Source organism: Homo sapiens, chromosome 1 (genome assembly GCF_000001405.40).
Source record: "Homo sapiens chromosome 1, GRCh38.p14 Primary Assembly".
Taxonomy (NCBI): Eukaryota; Metazoa; Chordata; class Mammalia; order Primates; family Hominidae; genus Homo; species Homo sapiens.
In genome coordinates this window covers 172,712,803-172,729,632 of record NC_000001.11, presented here as the reverse complement: position 1 = coordinate 172,729,632, position 16,830 = coordinate 172,712,803, and the positions used below count along the sequence as shown (strand labels likewise).

General features: G+C 40.5%; 2 annotated features.

Moving 5' to 3' along the window:
* Positions 1,309 to 1,358: a silencer, noted in NCBI's record as "silent region_1553". NCBI's record gives its function as "represses an Ori minimal core promoter by ATAC-STARR-seq in GM12878 lymphoblastoid cells {active_cell/tissue: GM12878}" and the evidence as "EXISTENCE:reporter gene assay evidence [ECO:0000049][PMID:35858748]".
* Positions 11,610 to 11,904: an enhancer, noted in NCBI's record as "tiled region #4605; HepG2 Activating DNase unmatched - State 8:EnhW". NCBI's record gives its function as "activates a minimal TATA promoter and a strong SV40 promoter by Sharpr-MPRA in HepG2 cells {active_cell/tissue: HepG2}" and the evidence as "EXISTENCE:reporter gene assay evidence [ECO:0000049][PMID:27701403]".

Genomic DNA, 16,830 nt, shown 5'->3' with positions numbered 1-16,830 from the left:
TTCTGTCACATTGACCTTGGATAGTCTGATGATTATATGCCTTGGTGATGTTTGTCTTGTATAGTATCTTCCAGCTGTTATCTGAATTTCTTCTACCTAAATGTTTACATCTCTAATAAGATCAGAGAAATCTTCCTGAATTATTCCTTAAATATGTTTTCCAAACTACTTACTTTTTCTTCTTTTTCCTCAGGAATGTCTGTAATTTGTGGGTTTGCTCACTTTACATAATTCCATATTTCTTAAAGACTTTGTTCATTTTTTAGCATTCATTTTTCTTTGATTTTGTCTGACTGGGTTAATTCCAAATACCAGTCTTCAAGCTCTGAAATTCTTTCTTCTGCTTGGTCTAGTCTATTGTTAAAGATTTCAACAGTGTTTTGAAATTCCTTCAGTAAATTTTTCATTTTCAGATATTCTTTTTGGTTTTTCAGAAGATGTCTATCTTATCTTTCATCTCCTGAATTGTTTTTCTGGTTTCTTTGTGTTGGTTTTCAACTTTCTCTTGGATATCATTGAGCTTTCCTACAATTCTGATATAGTTTGACTGTGTCCCTACCCAAATCTCATCTTGAATTGTAGCTCCCATAATCCCCATGTGTCATGGGAGGGACCTGGTGGAAGGTAATTGAATCATGGCAGTGGTGTTTCCTGTGCTGTTCTCATGATAGTGAATAAGTCTCATGAGATCTGATGGTTTTATAAAGGGCAGTTCCCCTGCATGTTCTCTTTTGCCTGCCGCCATGTAAGATGTGCCTTTGCTCCTCCTTCACCTTCCACCATGATTGTGAGGCCTCCCCAGCCATGTGGAACTGTGAGTTCTTTAAACCTCTTTTTCTTTATAAATTACCCAGTCTTGGGTATTTCCTCATAGCAATATCAAAATGGACTAATAAAAATCCATATCTTGAATTGTTTGTCATTTTAAAGTTTTCATTTTGGTTAGGATCCGTTCCTAGAGTGCTAGTGTGTTTTTGGGGGAGTGTCACAACATTCTGTTTCTTCATGGTGCTGAAGTTCTTGTGCTGGTTCCTTCTCATTTGTAGAAGCTGTCACTTCTTATTTTGAATTTACTTTCATTTGGATGAGATTTTTTTTCTTCCCCCCTTGAGGGTGTGACTGTTGCATATATGGGGTAGAGTCCTTTGGTTTTGTTTCTATGTGTTTTTAGGGAGCCAAGGCTCTATATGAATTCTTTGGTCATAGATAGTCTTAGTGTAGTGGTTTTCACAAATGCTAGTTGCTTGTAGATTGTAGTATTTGTGTGCTGTGCATGTGGTCAAGCTCACTACCTCCTATAGAAATGGGGATGTAGAAGTTTTGAGAGGCTTGTTTCCCAGCACTGTGCCCTTGTGTCAGCAGGAATCATATTGGGGTTGTGCAGTTCACCCTACAGACCAGCAGGTGACACTTGCTGGTAAGAGCCAATTGAGTGCTATACACTGATGTCAGCAGAAGTTGTGATGGACCATGCAATTTGACCTCCTGGCCAGTAGGTGGTGCTTGCAGGCAAAAGGCAGTTGCAGTGATGGCAGTGGAATTTTTACTTGGACTTTATTGATGGGGGAATGTACCAGGGTGTTCCTGGTGAGGGGCAGAGTGTGGAGCTCTCAGGGGTTCTCTCCCATGCTCTGCTGCCAAGGTGGCTGAAGAGGGGAAAGTTGAGCAAGGCGGTGTTAGGTGAGCCCACAGTCAAGCTCCCCTGGCTGGATGCAAGCACCAAGCTTGGTGAGGTTCTATGGGTAGCTCTCAGGCCTCTGGGACAACCCTCCAGGGAGGGGCAGAGGTCCTTCGCCTGCAACACAGGGCACTCTCAAGGGAAGAGAGGCGCCCAGGGTCTTCAGAGCAGCAGGCAGCTGTCAGGCCCACTCACCTCCCACAACCCCAAGAGCAACAGGCCTAACCCATTAGGTTAGTTTCAACCCATCCATGCCAAGATCACCAAGCTATTCCATGTATTCTAGACCACGAGACACCCTGCAGCAGAAATCGCTATCAGGCCACACCCTTCCCACCAGCGTTGTGAAGAGAGGGGTGCCCAGCTCCTGCACCACCACATGAACCTGACACACTCTTCTCTGTGTTTTAACAGAGGAGATCCTCCACTGGAGATCAGGCCGTAGATCTTATCTCCATACTTCTGGGTGGTGTGCTTGAGGCCTAGAAAATTGGAACCAGGCCAACTTAATTACCCTCTGTCTCCTTGGGGTCTAGCACCAACTATGATGGGGGAGTAAAGTGCTCCCAGGCTGCCACCAACAAACCACTCAGGCGGAGCAGTAAAGGCTATACTGTGGGTCTCCTCCCAGCTCCTCCTGGGAATGGCCAGGCAGTCTTAGGAGGGACCAGCAGGGATGGAGGCATGTGGTTCGGATGCATCTTAGTCCTGTGGCAATGGCATTGGGGCTTGTCTTGGGTGCATGAGTGCCTGACCTCCACTCTCTCCTGGCCTGGCAGACAACAGGAGCTGCAACTTCTTAGGACAGGATGCAAAGCCTTGGAAGGTGGGCACCCAGAGTTGCATTTTGCTGCAGCTGTGAAAAAAAGATCTTTAGCATGCAGTTTCAAGCAGTCCCTTGGTGTGTTCTCTAGGCAGCTCCCCCTGCCAGTCTGTAGAGGTCATAGGAACTCTTGTAGCTAGGAGCTCAGAGGTCCACAGCAGGAATGAGGTGTCCCAGGGTTCCTTTACTCACTGCTTCCTTGGGTGTGACCTGGGTCTAGGGGTCAGTCCTGATGCCAAGCAGGCAGCCCTGTTTCCTCTTTCTTCAACCACGAGGTCTTCTGTTGCTTCTCTATTAAATTTCAGTGTTTTCTCTCAAAAGTTCTGTTCGAAGTGTGAAGGTTTACTCAATATTTTGGTTTTTCTCCATGGAAGAGGTGCATCCCAGCCACATTTACTCAGCTATGTTTAATTCTTCCAGTTTTTACATAATTCTCAACAAATTGCAATGTCAGTGAGAACCTAATATAAACTACAAGTAAGCATTTAATCTACTTGTAGTTATAAGCCACTTTACTATTTAGTATACTTCTGCCGTTTTGACATTAGTTGTCAGATGACATGCAGAGGAGCTCCCAGAAATGAATTTTATTAACTGTGTAAATAAGCTGTGAACTAAAGAGAACCCTCAGAGAGTTACAGAGCTGAAGCACATCATGATGATCATCTGTTTCAAATGCTTCAATGTACAGACAGAAAACTGAAGGCTGAGAAGGAAAATTACTGGTTTGCTAAGCTTACATGAGACTTACACATTGAGGGAACCAGACCTTTAGAAATCAAGTCAAACAGAGAAGCAATTGTAACTGTTAACAGCTCATATTGAAATCTCAGGATAGCTTCAATTAAATTGATCGAGGCACTTAAAAAATCATGAGTCTTAATTTTTGGTTCTAAAGTCAAGTCACCAACAATATTTAATAACTGACTCTATTCATTATCATAAATATAAATCAGACAAAATCACCCAGAACTTAAACACTAAAATGATCAAAAGTAAGGTTTTGTGTTACCCATCTTCTTCCACTTTAACTTGTTATTGCATTTGTAATACATATTACAGCATGGGGAGGAGAGGTGTCTGATCTGTGCTTGACACAACTGGGGAATATACACACATATCTACTGATACAATTTTATACCAGCAGACATGTTCAGCTCTAAATTCAAAGCAAGGCTGGTGTACAGCTATCTTTCCTTAATTGTCATAAGGTATTCATATATGTGTACAGTGACGGCAAAAGAAGTTTTGTTCTGCAGACTATTTTTAAAAGGTTTTTAAAAAGTTTTTCTAAATAGTTAAAATATATTTTAAAAATATATGAGTCACATTTTTATGGAATCCAGGAAATATTTTCACTGAACTCTTCTTTGGGATATAGTTGAAAATCAGTAATATAGAGACCACTGGTTGTAAATGCAAACAGCTTGAGTGTCAGGTCTCTAGCCCTCTTCTCCTTAGGTCCACTCTAGTTTTCATACAGGTCCTGAGAACCTAGGCTTCTACTAGTAGCCATGCTAATTCCTTCCCAGAGGCAGTTTGAGGTGGCTTCAAGAGGAAGCAAGTCTTCTCTGCTTACCACCTGTGCTTGTAGATTCTCTAGATGAATTCAGACAAGACTGACTTTCAGAATGAATACAACTAAGGCTATTAATCTGTGACCTCAGTGTACAGGAATTATCATCCCCATCATGAGGATGAGGCAGGTCATAGAAATTGAAGAGCTTGCCCCAGTCACCTACCAAATAAATGGCAAAGTAAAGCTATCTGAAGTGAGGTCTTCTCTGCTTACAACTTGTGTCCTATGTCCACTCCAGTTTTCATGCAGGCCCTGAGGACCTAGGCTCCTCCAAGTAGCTATGGGAATTCCTTCCCAGAGGCAGTTTGAGGTGGCTTCAAAAAGAGGAAGTTCTCTGCTTATAAGCTGTGCTTGTTTGCCAGCAAGGTTTGCTGCTAGGTGACCACAGCACCCCTACAATCTTAGAGCATGAGACAACTGTACATTAGACATGACACAGATGGTGCTAGGGGAGAGCATGGGCTTAGGGGGTCAGGTAGATCTCGCTTCAGATAGCTTTGCTTTGCCATTTATTTGGCAGGTGACTGCGGTGAGCTTTTCAATTTCTCTGAGCTGCCTCATCCACATGATGGGGATAATAATTTCTGTATTCTGAGGTCACAGATTAATAGCCTGAGTTGTATTCATTCTGAAAGTAAGTCCTATCTGAATTCATCTAGAGAATCTATCAAGTAGCCTCAAATACAAGGGAAAGAAATTATTCAAAGGCAGAAAGTTATTCAAATACAAGGGAAGGAAGTCATTCAAAGGCAGAAAGAGTCCATGTGCCTGATTTTGGTCCAAGGGTAGAATTGGAGAGATAGAATAGTGCGCCTTCTTATCCGGTGACAGGGCTCCACATGTTATGCCAGAATCTTTGAGAGGAGGAGCTCTAATAAAGAGAGAATTAAAAAATAAATTGTTTCCCCAAAATATTTGCCATTACATCAAGAGTACAAAGGATTCTGATTTGAAACCCATGGAAGAAAACAAGGATGAAAGAGACTTGCACATCTTTTTCTTAATTGAAATATGCACAGTAAAGTAAAAACCTCACATAATTTCATCACATAAAAAGGACATAAATACTAAAAGAAGTTTCACTTTCATTCCCAGAATGCTTTGAGCCTACCCCACCCCTATTCATCTTAACCCCACCCCTCCCACTCCCAGAAAACTACAGTCATTTTGTTATATAACTTTAGAGACTTCTTTCTGTGATTATACACACACAAATACACAAATATTCTTTTTATTTTTTAATTTTTAAAATTTTTAGACATTTAGGGGGTACAAGCACAGATTTCTTACATGTATATATTGCTTAGTGGTGATGTCTGTTCTTTTAGTGTACCCATGACCTGAATAGTGAACATTGTACCCAATGGGTAATTTTTCAACTCTTACCATGTCCCTCCCACTCTCCCATTTTGTTATCTCCAATGTCTATTTTTCCATTCTCTATGTCCATGACATACACATATATTGTTCTTAAATGAGACTGTGCTATGCATATTGGACTGAAATTGCTAAAAGCATCTCATACTCATGCTTTCAGGTCACTATTTATGGGTCACCATACCAAAGCTCCTGGGAGATTTCCCTGTTATTTCAGAGTCCTGAAAATGAATACTGCTATATATAAAAAAACACTTTCTATAAGACTTCCTTAATCCTTTTCAGGAAGAGTAAAGTATCTCTTCAACTGTTTTCCTAAAACATGTGTGTTGCTTATATATTCACTGTATCCCTAATTACATTCTTTTAGTATAGGTGCCAGTTACTGGTAACAACAAAAAAATCAACCTCTGCCAGAATATTTAAAGAGGTTTATTCTGAGCCAATATGAGTGACTATGGCCTGGGGAAACTGTCTCAAGAGGTCCCGAGAAAGTGTGCCCAAGGCAGTTGGGTTAACGTTTGGGAGGGAGACAGAAATTGCATGTCAAAACATAAACGAATACATGGGAGTTGTACATTGAGTCTATTCAAAAAGGCAGGACATCTGGCAGTGAGAGCTTACAAGACACAGGTGAGTTTAGGGATTATTTAGTTGGCAATTGGTTGAAAGAGTTGAGCTTTGTCTAAAAACTTGGAGTCAGTAGAAAGGAATGCTTCAGTTAAGACAAGGGGGTCTGTTTTCTGTTACATGATGCCATACCAGAGTCTGGTTGCAAAAGTAAGCCACAATATACTGGGTCAAAAAAACTTGTTTAACATAATTTTATGTCTTGTAGATTTGACTCCCTGTGGGCCCTTAAAAAGAAATCTGAGAAAGTAAAAATGTCAGAGTTCAGTCCTTACCTGTTTTTTTCCACTAGACTGCAAAGTTCTTACTGAAAAAGGCCTTCCCTACTCTTGACACCTGGACTTCCAAGGGTCTGGAATAAGGCCAATCAAGCCACAATATCTGAAAGAACATGCGATGGGAAGTCAGATCTGAGATTTACGCTCTACCCTGCTAATAATTTGCACCTCATGTGGAGAAGTTCCAGCCCACCTGGATTGTCGCTTCTTCGTTTTTAAAATCTGTTTACATTCAAGGACTGGGATAAACTAGATGTCCTTTAAGGCCACTTCAAACTTTAACATGCGAAACACAAAACTGATGTCTGCAACATGGAATAGTAATAGCTAAAGAGAAAAATGCTTACTATCAAAATATTATTGTTGTCTGACACTAAAATACATATTTTGTGTATGAGACAGGGTCTTGCTGTGTTGCCCAGGCTAGAGTGCAGTGGCACGATCTCTGCTCGCTGCAGCCTCAACCTTCCAGGCTCAAGTGATCCTCCTGCCTCAGCCTCCTGAAGAGCTGGGACTACAGGAATGCACCACCATGCCTGGATAATTTTTGTATTTTTTATAGAGACAGTGCTTTGCCATATTGCCTAGACTGATCTCAAACTCCTGGGCTCAAGCAATCTGCCTGCCTTGGCCTTCCAAAGTGCTAGGATTACAGGTGTGTGCCACTGTGCCCTGCCTGTAAAATACACATTTTAGTCAGTAAAAGTTAGTTACATGTAACTATTCTTATTTGTATGTGAATAACTCTTAAATTCCCATCAGCAACATAGTTAGAAATTATTCCTTAGAGTAGGATATTTTACAGATGGCTTTGTGGCAGGCCAATTCTCCCTGACAATCACACAGACAGGCCTGCATGACAGTCACACAGACAGGCCTACATAGCACTCCAGTTACACAGACAAATTTCCATAGCACTGTCTTACCATTGAGCAAATAGTCAAACCTAGGGAAATCAATGCCCAGACATCAAAACTAGAAATGAAACATATGGTCAGTAGGAACCTTGCATGGGCTTCTCCCTAACCTGGAGCAAACCAAAATAATAGAGACAGTCTTACATTCCTACTGCCAGGACCCATCTTGCATTGACAAAATCTGAGACAAGTCAAGGTAACAGAGGCAGCTGTTTGAATAGATTCATCGGAGAGTCTAAGGCAGCTCTCCGGACCAAGCTGTAAAGGAGATGAGATAGAAATAATCACTCTGGTACCGCAGTAGACAGGCCTTGAAGGTACTGGGGCCCTTTTAATTGGACTTAGCAAGCAATTTTTGCCTCTGACCTTCTAGTTGAAACAGAATCAGTTACCAATAGACTTAGGCGAATGCTATACTGCACATAGGCACATAGCCCCAACCTATATAAGCGCTAAGAAAATTGTAACACTTTGAGTTGGTGGAATTACCTCCGGCCTTCTCTGTGTATCTGGTTACAGTGATAAATTCCCTTCTTTCCTAGTTTGTCTGCTTCTCATTATTGGGACTGGAGAAAACGCAGTCGGACCTGGCTTGGTTCCGGGAATAGCTTGGCAAACAAAATGTACTAATAATTGATTGATTTTCATTATTTTGTTTTTTAAAAGGCAACTTTTCGTGACCCCACATTCCAATTCCAGGGGTTTCTCTATACTGCCTAATTATTCTACAATCACCTAAAAGTATTACTACTATTACTAAAACTATTACTAGTATTAATTTTTATAATAATAAAGATAATAAATTATTACATGGTGCTTCAAAGTTAATCTCTTTCACACCGAAGTTAAATAGATAAAGTAGATAATATTGCTTTCTTGATTGCATGGCCTAAAAACCCTAAGCTAGAGAAATTAGATCACTTACCCAAGGTTGCAAAGCTAATTACTATTGGCTCCTTGGTCAAAATCCAGGGTTTTTGTGCAAGAACAGAAAAATATGTTACTCCATCACTAACAAACAGTGGCAGTTAAACAGGGCTGGACTGCCAAAGAAGAGTCACAGGACCCAAAATGATGATGGTTCACACAAAGGATACACTATTGTAACAGCATTAATATAAGGATATACATCATGGCTAAAGCCTGACTTACAGGAACGGCTCTGGGGAGACCAGGTACAGGCTCCTACTATACCCGCTCTGTGAAGGCTGTGACTGAACACACTTTCTCCAATTACAAATGCATGGAACAACTTGGAACCAGAAAGCCCAAAATGGAATCTCAACTGAGGGTTGTTCTTTTATACACATATTTTGCTGATCAAAAACGCATATTCCTGGCTGGGCACAGTGGCTCACACCTGTAATCCTAGCACTTTGGGAGGCCAAGGCAGGTGGATCACCTGAGGTCAGGGGTTGGAGACCAGCCTGGAAAACGTGGTGAAACCCTGTCTCTACCAAAAATACAAAAATTACTCGGTTCTAGTGGCATGTACCTGTAATTCCAGCTACTCAGGAGGCTAAATCAGGAGAATCGTTGCATCCCAGGAGGCAGAGGCTGCAGTGAGCTGAGATAGTGCCACTGCACTCCAGCCTGGGTGACAGAATGAGACTCCATCTCAAAACAAAACAAACAAACAAACAAAAAACCCCACATATTCCTGCTATGCAACCAACCCAATAGCAGAGCCCTCCAGAAAGCTCACTAACATCAAGTGCAAATCAACAATCTTACTCTCACAAGCCAGTACAAACTGCCTCACACTCCTCAGAGCAACACTAGTATTCAGTAACCAGGGTAGTGCCATGCGGGAACTTTAGCAAAATGCCTCAGGCTAATTCCAGGCCTGCTGGAATTAACCCTGAGGACACATCTTCCTCCATTGTATTTACCACCTAGAGAGCAAAGAAGTCCTGCAGTCTTTTGAAACTAAAACAATTCTGCATTCTATCCTTTCCATTATTGAAGTGTTTGTACTTGTAAAATAATCTATCCTGTTCCTACAGTGATAGGAATGCCATAGAAAGTATTATTTCAAAGTCTTTGGAGGTTTAGTACATCATCAACATTTTTACATTAATACAGAGCACTCAGGTGTTTGGACACATGGTTGCACCTGAGGATCCTGCCAATAACAGCCGCTATTCTATAGGAGCTAGGGAGCTGTCTTGTCAATCTCATCTACCAGCTCAATAACCCCTGCTCTCCAATTTATGTTCCCCTCAGATTTTCACACTCATCTTAATCAGTTCATCTCAGCTTGTTAAGGTAAAAAGCACTGTTGTATTACAAAATTCCAGTCCCCAAAACCTGGTTTTGCTGACTAAGCTGCCAACTGGCAGAAGAATTCAAGCACTCATTATCAGGACACGTTTCTTCCAAGCTCCCCCAGCATTGAGCCTCACTGCTGATGCTCCACAGTTGGGATAGGGCAGGATCTCAACTTCAGGACTCTGTTCGGCTTTAAGGATCATACACTTCTTTAAAGACTGATGCCACCATCAAGCTTAAGTAATACCTACAATTGCCACTAGGTAGAACCAGTGAGCCAAAGGTATGTGCAGGGATTTAAAAAAAAAAAACAAACAAAAACAAAACAAAAATCCAGAAAAGAAAGAGAGAAGAAAAGGAGGGATATCGATTGAATATTTACTAATATTGGTTGAATATTTACTTATTTTTCATTTAGCCCTATATGTGATGATCATCAGCCTGGTAGGGGAGGGAGACATGTGCCCTCTGATTTCACATCATGATACATCCAAAGGTATCCTCCCAATTTAGCTTTCCAACATCTCAATATCCCTGAAGGGGAAAAATATGAAATCATCAGACAAATGATAGGATGTTGAAAACGAAAGCAGATGAAATAATCAACATACATTTTTTAAATGCAAGTCACTGTTCTATTCGTTCTGCCAGTGTATAAATTTTTGTGCCTCATTTGAACTCTATCATATTCATTTAAGTCAGGCTTGAAAGGTATTATTTATCACTCCTTTCTTTGTACCATAAAGGAGGCTGAAGCTCAGAGTGATTAAGTTCCCTACTATCATAGCACTAGCAGATGCCAAGCAAGTCCAGATATGCCTGACTTCAAAGTCTTTTCTTCAAGTTAAACCGCAAACATCTCCCCAAATGACCGACTTTATGTAAGGCTTTCCAGGGAGCCAAGAAAAAAAAAAGCCACTTTATTTCTGGAGACGTGCCTCAGCTCATATTTCATTCAAACTTCTCTTTTGACAGACAGGAATTGAGCGACTTGGCCAAGGCCACACAGCAATTCAGACACAGCACCAAGGCTAGAATCCAGTTCTCCAGATGTGGTAAAGAGGAGAGGCAGGAATTACAGATGAAAGAAGAAAAGGTGAGGTGGCACTTCTAGGCTGAAACAGTGGTTCCACATTCACACCAGCATAATAATCACTGGTTATCTTTTTCTAGTTCTTCCAAGGGTCAGGCACTTTGCTAAGCGCTTCACAACCACCCTACTATTGTTGGATGCCTGATAGCATCATTTTTCTCTTTTTCCTAGAACAATATGCATATTTTCCTTTGGGGAATTGCCTCTCTTATATCCTTTGCAAGGTGGTTGATATGAATTTGATTCCACTCTCCCAACTAGGAGTTAGCCTTAAGTCTAATATTTGAACTCTTTGGCCCAATGGTTGTTCAGAGTTGTGTTTGTGAACTAATGCAGGACTTGAGACATAAGGAGACTTTTGCTGAAGACTTCTCAGAAATGACTTTTCCTTCTTCCATGGGAACTACCAGAAGAGAAATTCCCCTCTTTTATATGGTGCAATGTGAGGACATAAGGTCCAGAATCATTGATGCTGCCTTGCGGCAAGGCTGCCTGAGCACATAGCTAATAGCAGAAGGAAAGTATAGTGAAGAGAATTGCAGAGTAATGACACAAGAGACCTTAGGGCATTGTGAGCATCTGAATCAAACCACACCTGAAGTCAGGCCCACTTCAGGACTTCACAAACATAGTTCCTTTAAGCTGGTTTGGGTTAAACTTTCTGTTGCTCACAACCAAAGGCATCTTAACTGCCACATGTAATTGCTAGCATTATCACTGTTTTGTGGATAAGAAAATTGCCCAAGGTCATAGCATTTGTAAGAGTAAGATTTGACCCAGAATGGTCTGGCCCCAAAACCTTAACCATTAACCACAAATTACTGCCTTCATATATCAATATCCCTAAAAGAGGAAACTGTGTCTTTCCTGCTGGCATTAGCAAGGGAGCTGCTGCTTAGTCCTTTCCCTTAACCCTCAGGCTTTCTATGGAACCTCTTTTAAATAACTTCAACTAATCACACACATCCACAGGACTAAAATGCTGCTAGATTAATGATTGAGGCTCATGGGTACAAATAGAATTGTTCCATGTGATTCCCAGGTCAGGAATTGATCACGTGTCTCCACGTGATCTCTCTGTGCTCAGAAGCAATCATTCCTGGAGCTTGGTGACATCACAGAAAAATGTGTCTAGTCACTGACATTGCCGGGCAAAACAGAGTCAAAGCAAACATTGTGACAATGTGGCTTCATAAACACATTGCTGGTAGCACACTTGCCAAGAAGATGAGAGCCAGATCAAAAACAAACCCACTGCATCATCCAAAGCACCTCCAGGATATCATTTTGAACTGCTCAGTCTCCACTCTCAGATTGAGTCTGGGAAAAGGCTCTCAAATGTCCCCCAGCCCCCACCATGCTCAAACTGCCCATTGCCCACTTTCACTTAGCCAAGCTACAAAATCACCCTTTTCTAAGGTGGATCTGTAGGGTTTATTTCATGATTTAAAAAAAAAAAAAAAAAAAGCTCAGATGGGGGAAAGCTCATCAAAATATTTTCCAGTGATATCCACCAGAAAGACTTTCTGAAAATAATTGCTCACAAAGTAAGATGACAATAAGAGGTCACCTATGTCTCTTGGCAGCTAAACTCTTCAGTCTTTGTGATAGAAATATTTTGCCTCACTGCTTCCAGCTTGTTTTTCTTTTTTTTTTTTTTTTGAGACGGAGTCTCGCTCTGTCGCCCAGGCTGGAGTGCAGTGGCGCGATCTCGGCTCACTGCAAGCTCCGCCTCCCGGGTTCACGCCATTCTCCTGCCTCAGCCTCCCCGAGTAGCTGGGACTACAGGCGCCCGCTACCACGCCCGGCTAATTTTTTGTATTTTTAGTAGAGACGGGGTTTCACCGTGTTAGCCAGGATGGTCTCGATCTCCTGACCTCGTGATCCGCCCGCCTCGGCCTCCCAAAGTGCTGGGATTACAGGCGTGAGCCACCGCGCCCGGCCTCCAGCTTGTTTTTCTAGCAATTATTTTTCATTATCACCCTGACCTTTTCTGTCTTTTTGCAAGCACACCTCCTCCTCCATGGCCCCCTCCCTGTATGTGGCCTCTGTAGTTAGTGGAATTTGAAAGGTATACCCCAACAGCTGGGCTTTTGATGTGGGTTTTGCAACATGGTTTTCTTATTGACTATTCAAAATAATCTCAACTATTTTTTTCAATCATTCTATTTGGTCTTCTGTTTGTACTTTAGAATAGGCCTCCCCAGAGAGCAGCACAACAAGATGAATCTCCTCTGCATGTTTCCATCACATGACAGAGAGTCACAGGGAGGGAGAGGAGGAGGTGAGGATAGGAAACCCTGCCTATGCACAAGTGGAGGAAGATGAAAGACAGGACTCTAAATGATACCACCCCAGCCTATGCCAAGAGGGAGAGAAATAATGCTTTGAGTGGGCGGCAGTGATTACATATGGTTCTGGGGAGTCAGTCCAAAAGTCTGCAAATCAGTAACTTTATCTTCACCTACACCGGGTGATACTCTGAACAATGATTATTAAAGTATGTTAAGAAGCTCAGCTCTGGAATTATGGGCAAGTCAGTTGACCTGAACAATAGCTTTTGTGACAAACACTGGAATAGACTGTGTCTGCTGGATGACCTTCCAGACTGTCTTGACCCCCCTCCAGGGGCTCACTCTGATGAAGTAGAAACTGGTTTGTTTTAGACATGCTGCTCAGGCATCTCCCTAGAGGCACACAAAGGAGTCCATCAGGAGAGGTCACTGCTGCAGAGCCTCTAGGCCCCTAGATGAGCACTAAAGAGGTGGTACTGTGGAGACGAACTTCAAGTAGAAAGAGCAAGACTGGGGTAGATTTTTCCTAGGCTCACAGTGTTAACCCTGTGTGTGGCCTTGGAAGTCATTTAGTTCAAAAACCTGTTTTCTTTTCCTGTTACTCTTAATTTTCTCCAGACTACACACCCTCATTCTTTTGAGCTCTCTACCTACCTAAAGGATCAAAATCCCCTCAAGTGTCCTGATCATTCTCTACTCGACATGCCACAGCTTGTCCAGGACATTCCTACATGAGGCTCACTGAACTAGGCACAGAATTCCAAGTATAGTCTAACCAGTACAGAGAATGGAAGATCACTTTCCATGTTCCAGTCCATAGGGCATCCCCTTGGACCACATTTGAGTCAGAAATATACAACTGTTCTTTCTACCTTTCCTCAACAGCCTTCTCTCCAAAAGTCGGTAAAAATACTTAAACATTATAATCCACTGGACAAAAATCCAGTTGTCCTTGGTTATATTTCAACTCCAGACCAACCCAATCCAGATAAGCAAAGCAGAACTGGCAGTCAAGAGTGTATGGAGGTCATAAGAAAGACACAGAAGCCAGTCCATATGAATTAAGACAGACTCTCATCAGTCCTGCATGGTTAAAACTTGTTCCTATTACATAGTTGATAAATAAAGTAATTTCTCAAAGAAACCTTGGACATTATGAAAAAAGAAGCAACTAGGAGTCCACTTAGCAACTTCTCAGAAGTTATTAAATATGAACAGATACCCACAGTACCACTAGGCTGTGTACACAGAAGGATGAAAGATGATGTTGGTTGACTTCTCCATCTCTTGCAACCTGTTTACAACTGTTAATTCTGTAATTCATGCTTCAAAATACTCTAAACTTTGAAGTGATACTATATTATCTAACCTATAAAATAACAAAATGTTAACAGAGTAACGTAGATTGACTAATTCTTAAGGTAAAGAGTCTGTCCTGAAAAGCATAATAGTGTGTCATTCAGGTGATTGGTAGAAAGGAATTGTCATAATTCTCAAATAGATTATTTTTCCAGGATTTAGGCCTCTTTCCTTTAAATGACAGTGATCCCAAGAAAACCAAGAAAGTGGTTAGTGCCTCAGTTAAATGCTGTATAGCCAGTTTTGAAATTACTTAAATATCAGTAAAAATGCATATGTGAAGAATTGTCTTCAAAAAGAAATCACAGACTTCAAAATCACTAGTATTGTCTTTTTAAATTGTATTCTATTTATTATCAGAGGGAGGTTGATAGTTTACTTCGCTCTCAGAATTTTGCACCTTCAAATAGTGTCATTCTCATCTAATTTTTTTTTACTTTTACATTTACATTTAAGGAATCTTTGTTTCTGATCTTGAGATGTGGAATGAGGCTAGAGAGATGGCCAGATTGTCAGAGATCCTCTTAATGTTGTTTGGTATCTCTGGGGAATTAATAGAAATATTGTGGACTAAAGAGAGCTTAGAAAAGTGCTCTAGATGACTTCTACAGTGAGTACGGCTATTTTGGATACTTAAGCTTCATGAAGTACCTTCATAAAAAGGAAAAAAATGAATTTTAAAGGAGGCTTAGGAAGACAAATCCCAATGCTAAAAGAAAAGGCAATATAATTAAGACTATGCTTTCAAAAGCTGAGGTAAATTATTTGGGGGTTGGTTTTATAGCTCTTTCTCTCTAGAGAATAATATAAAGGTACTTCAATATATAGATTTCTGCCTGTGCTAGCTATCATCCAAGAATGACTGGCAGATTCCCATGGGTAAAAATCTCCCCTAAACAAATTCACATACTCAGGATCAGCAGGAGAGCTTGATTCTGTCCCTTCTTTTCTTACAAGCTGAGGAGGAAAACAAGAGGCCCATGCAAATTAAGTCAGTGTGCAAGCTACCATTTTTTCTTGTTAATCACTGGCTAAAATGAATAAAACACTTAACCTATTATTTGGCCAAATTTCAAAATCCCTGAATTATAGTGCAGTGTTGATATCAGTGGGTGAAAAAGCAGATTTTCTTTCCTGCCTAATTCAGAAGGTGGAAATTAGATACACTTTACCTTAGCAAGAGTCAGCCAAGTTTTTACCTCTTAGCAAGATCAGTGGTTCTCTATGAGCACTGGAACCACTTGGAAAGCTTGTGAAAATGCACAATACTGGGTCCCACAGGGATTTTGATTCAGTGTATTGGGAGGCAGGTCTAGGAAACTACATTAGAAACAAACACCACAGGCGTTCTTCAGTCCACACTTTGAGATACCCTTTTATAGAAACTTTATCACCCCATAGGTATACACAAAGCAGCTACAAATGATCCATGTGAATGATGAAATGATAGTACATTTTTGGCACAAATAAAGATTTCTTTTATTTTTCTTCTCCTCCATCCCCTTGTCTCACTATTACTTTTCTGTCTTCTCACCACCCTTTCTGTCTTCCTGCTTTTACACTGTTTCTTTCACCTCTGTCTTTGCACTGTCAGCTATGAATCATAAAAAAGGAAAATGGAAGCAGAAGAAAAGGCCTCACTTGTCTGGACTTTCTGAGTACCAGACAGTCATTCACTGATGTCCTTAAATTTAAGAAATTTCAGTGAATCAGGTGCTGATGATATAATGACCTTAATATACAAATACATGATTTTTTTATTGCTAAAAGTGTTGAAATCTCCACAAAGCAAAAGATTGGAGAGATAAAAGACAAGGAAATTCTATGTAATCAATTTTATATATTACTTGTTAGCATCTCAGAGAAAGACTTATTGAAAGACTGAAGCTAGAGAATAAGAATACCAATAACAAATTCATTCACTCATTCTTTCATGTATTCAAACATAAAGAATTATATTTCTATCTTCTTTGCCAAGGCATGAGAGAAAAGTGAAATAAGATGTATTTTTCATTGTTGTTAAAAAGTTATTCGATAAATAATTAAAAATCAAGATAACAAAGAAAAGCAAATGGAAGACTGAAAGTGTTTTTACAATATAATGTTAACTTTTGTTCTTGTTATCTAAAACTGAAGGATCTCTGTCATAATTCACAATTATATCTTTACTTAAGTCACTCAATCAATATTGGGTTGACTCTTATCAAGCTCCTGACAAAATTAAGTGAAGATGGGTTATCTTACCCACTTTCATTTCTCAGAGTTATTACTTATCAACTGATGTCCATATATCCCAAGGATCCCATGGATAAAATACAAGGGGTTCATGAACTCAGATGGAAAAAAAAACACCTTTATTTTTGCTTACTTCTAACTAATATTTTACATTCTCTTCTTACATGAATGTACGAAATAAACCAAAGTAATATTAGCAGTATATATGACTGATAATGGAAACCACAGATATTTTTCTTATCACATTAAAGTTATACAAATTTGTTGAGATAGCACTTACATTTATCACTATTTTA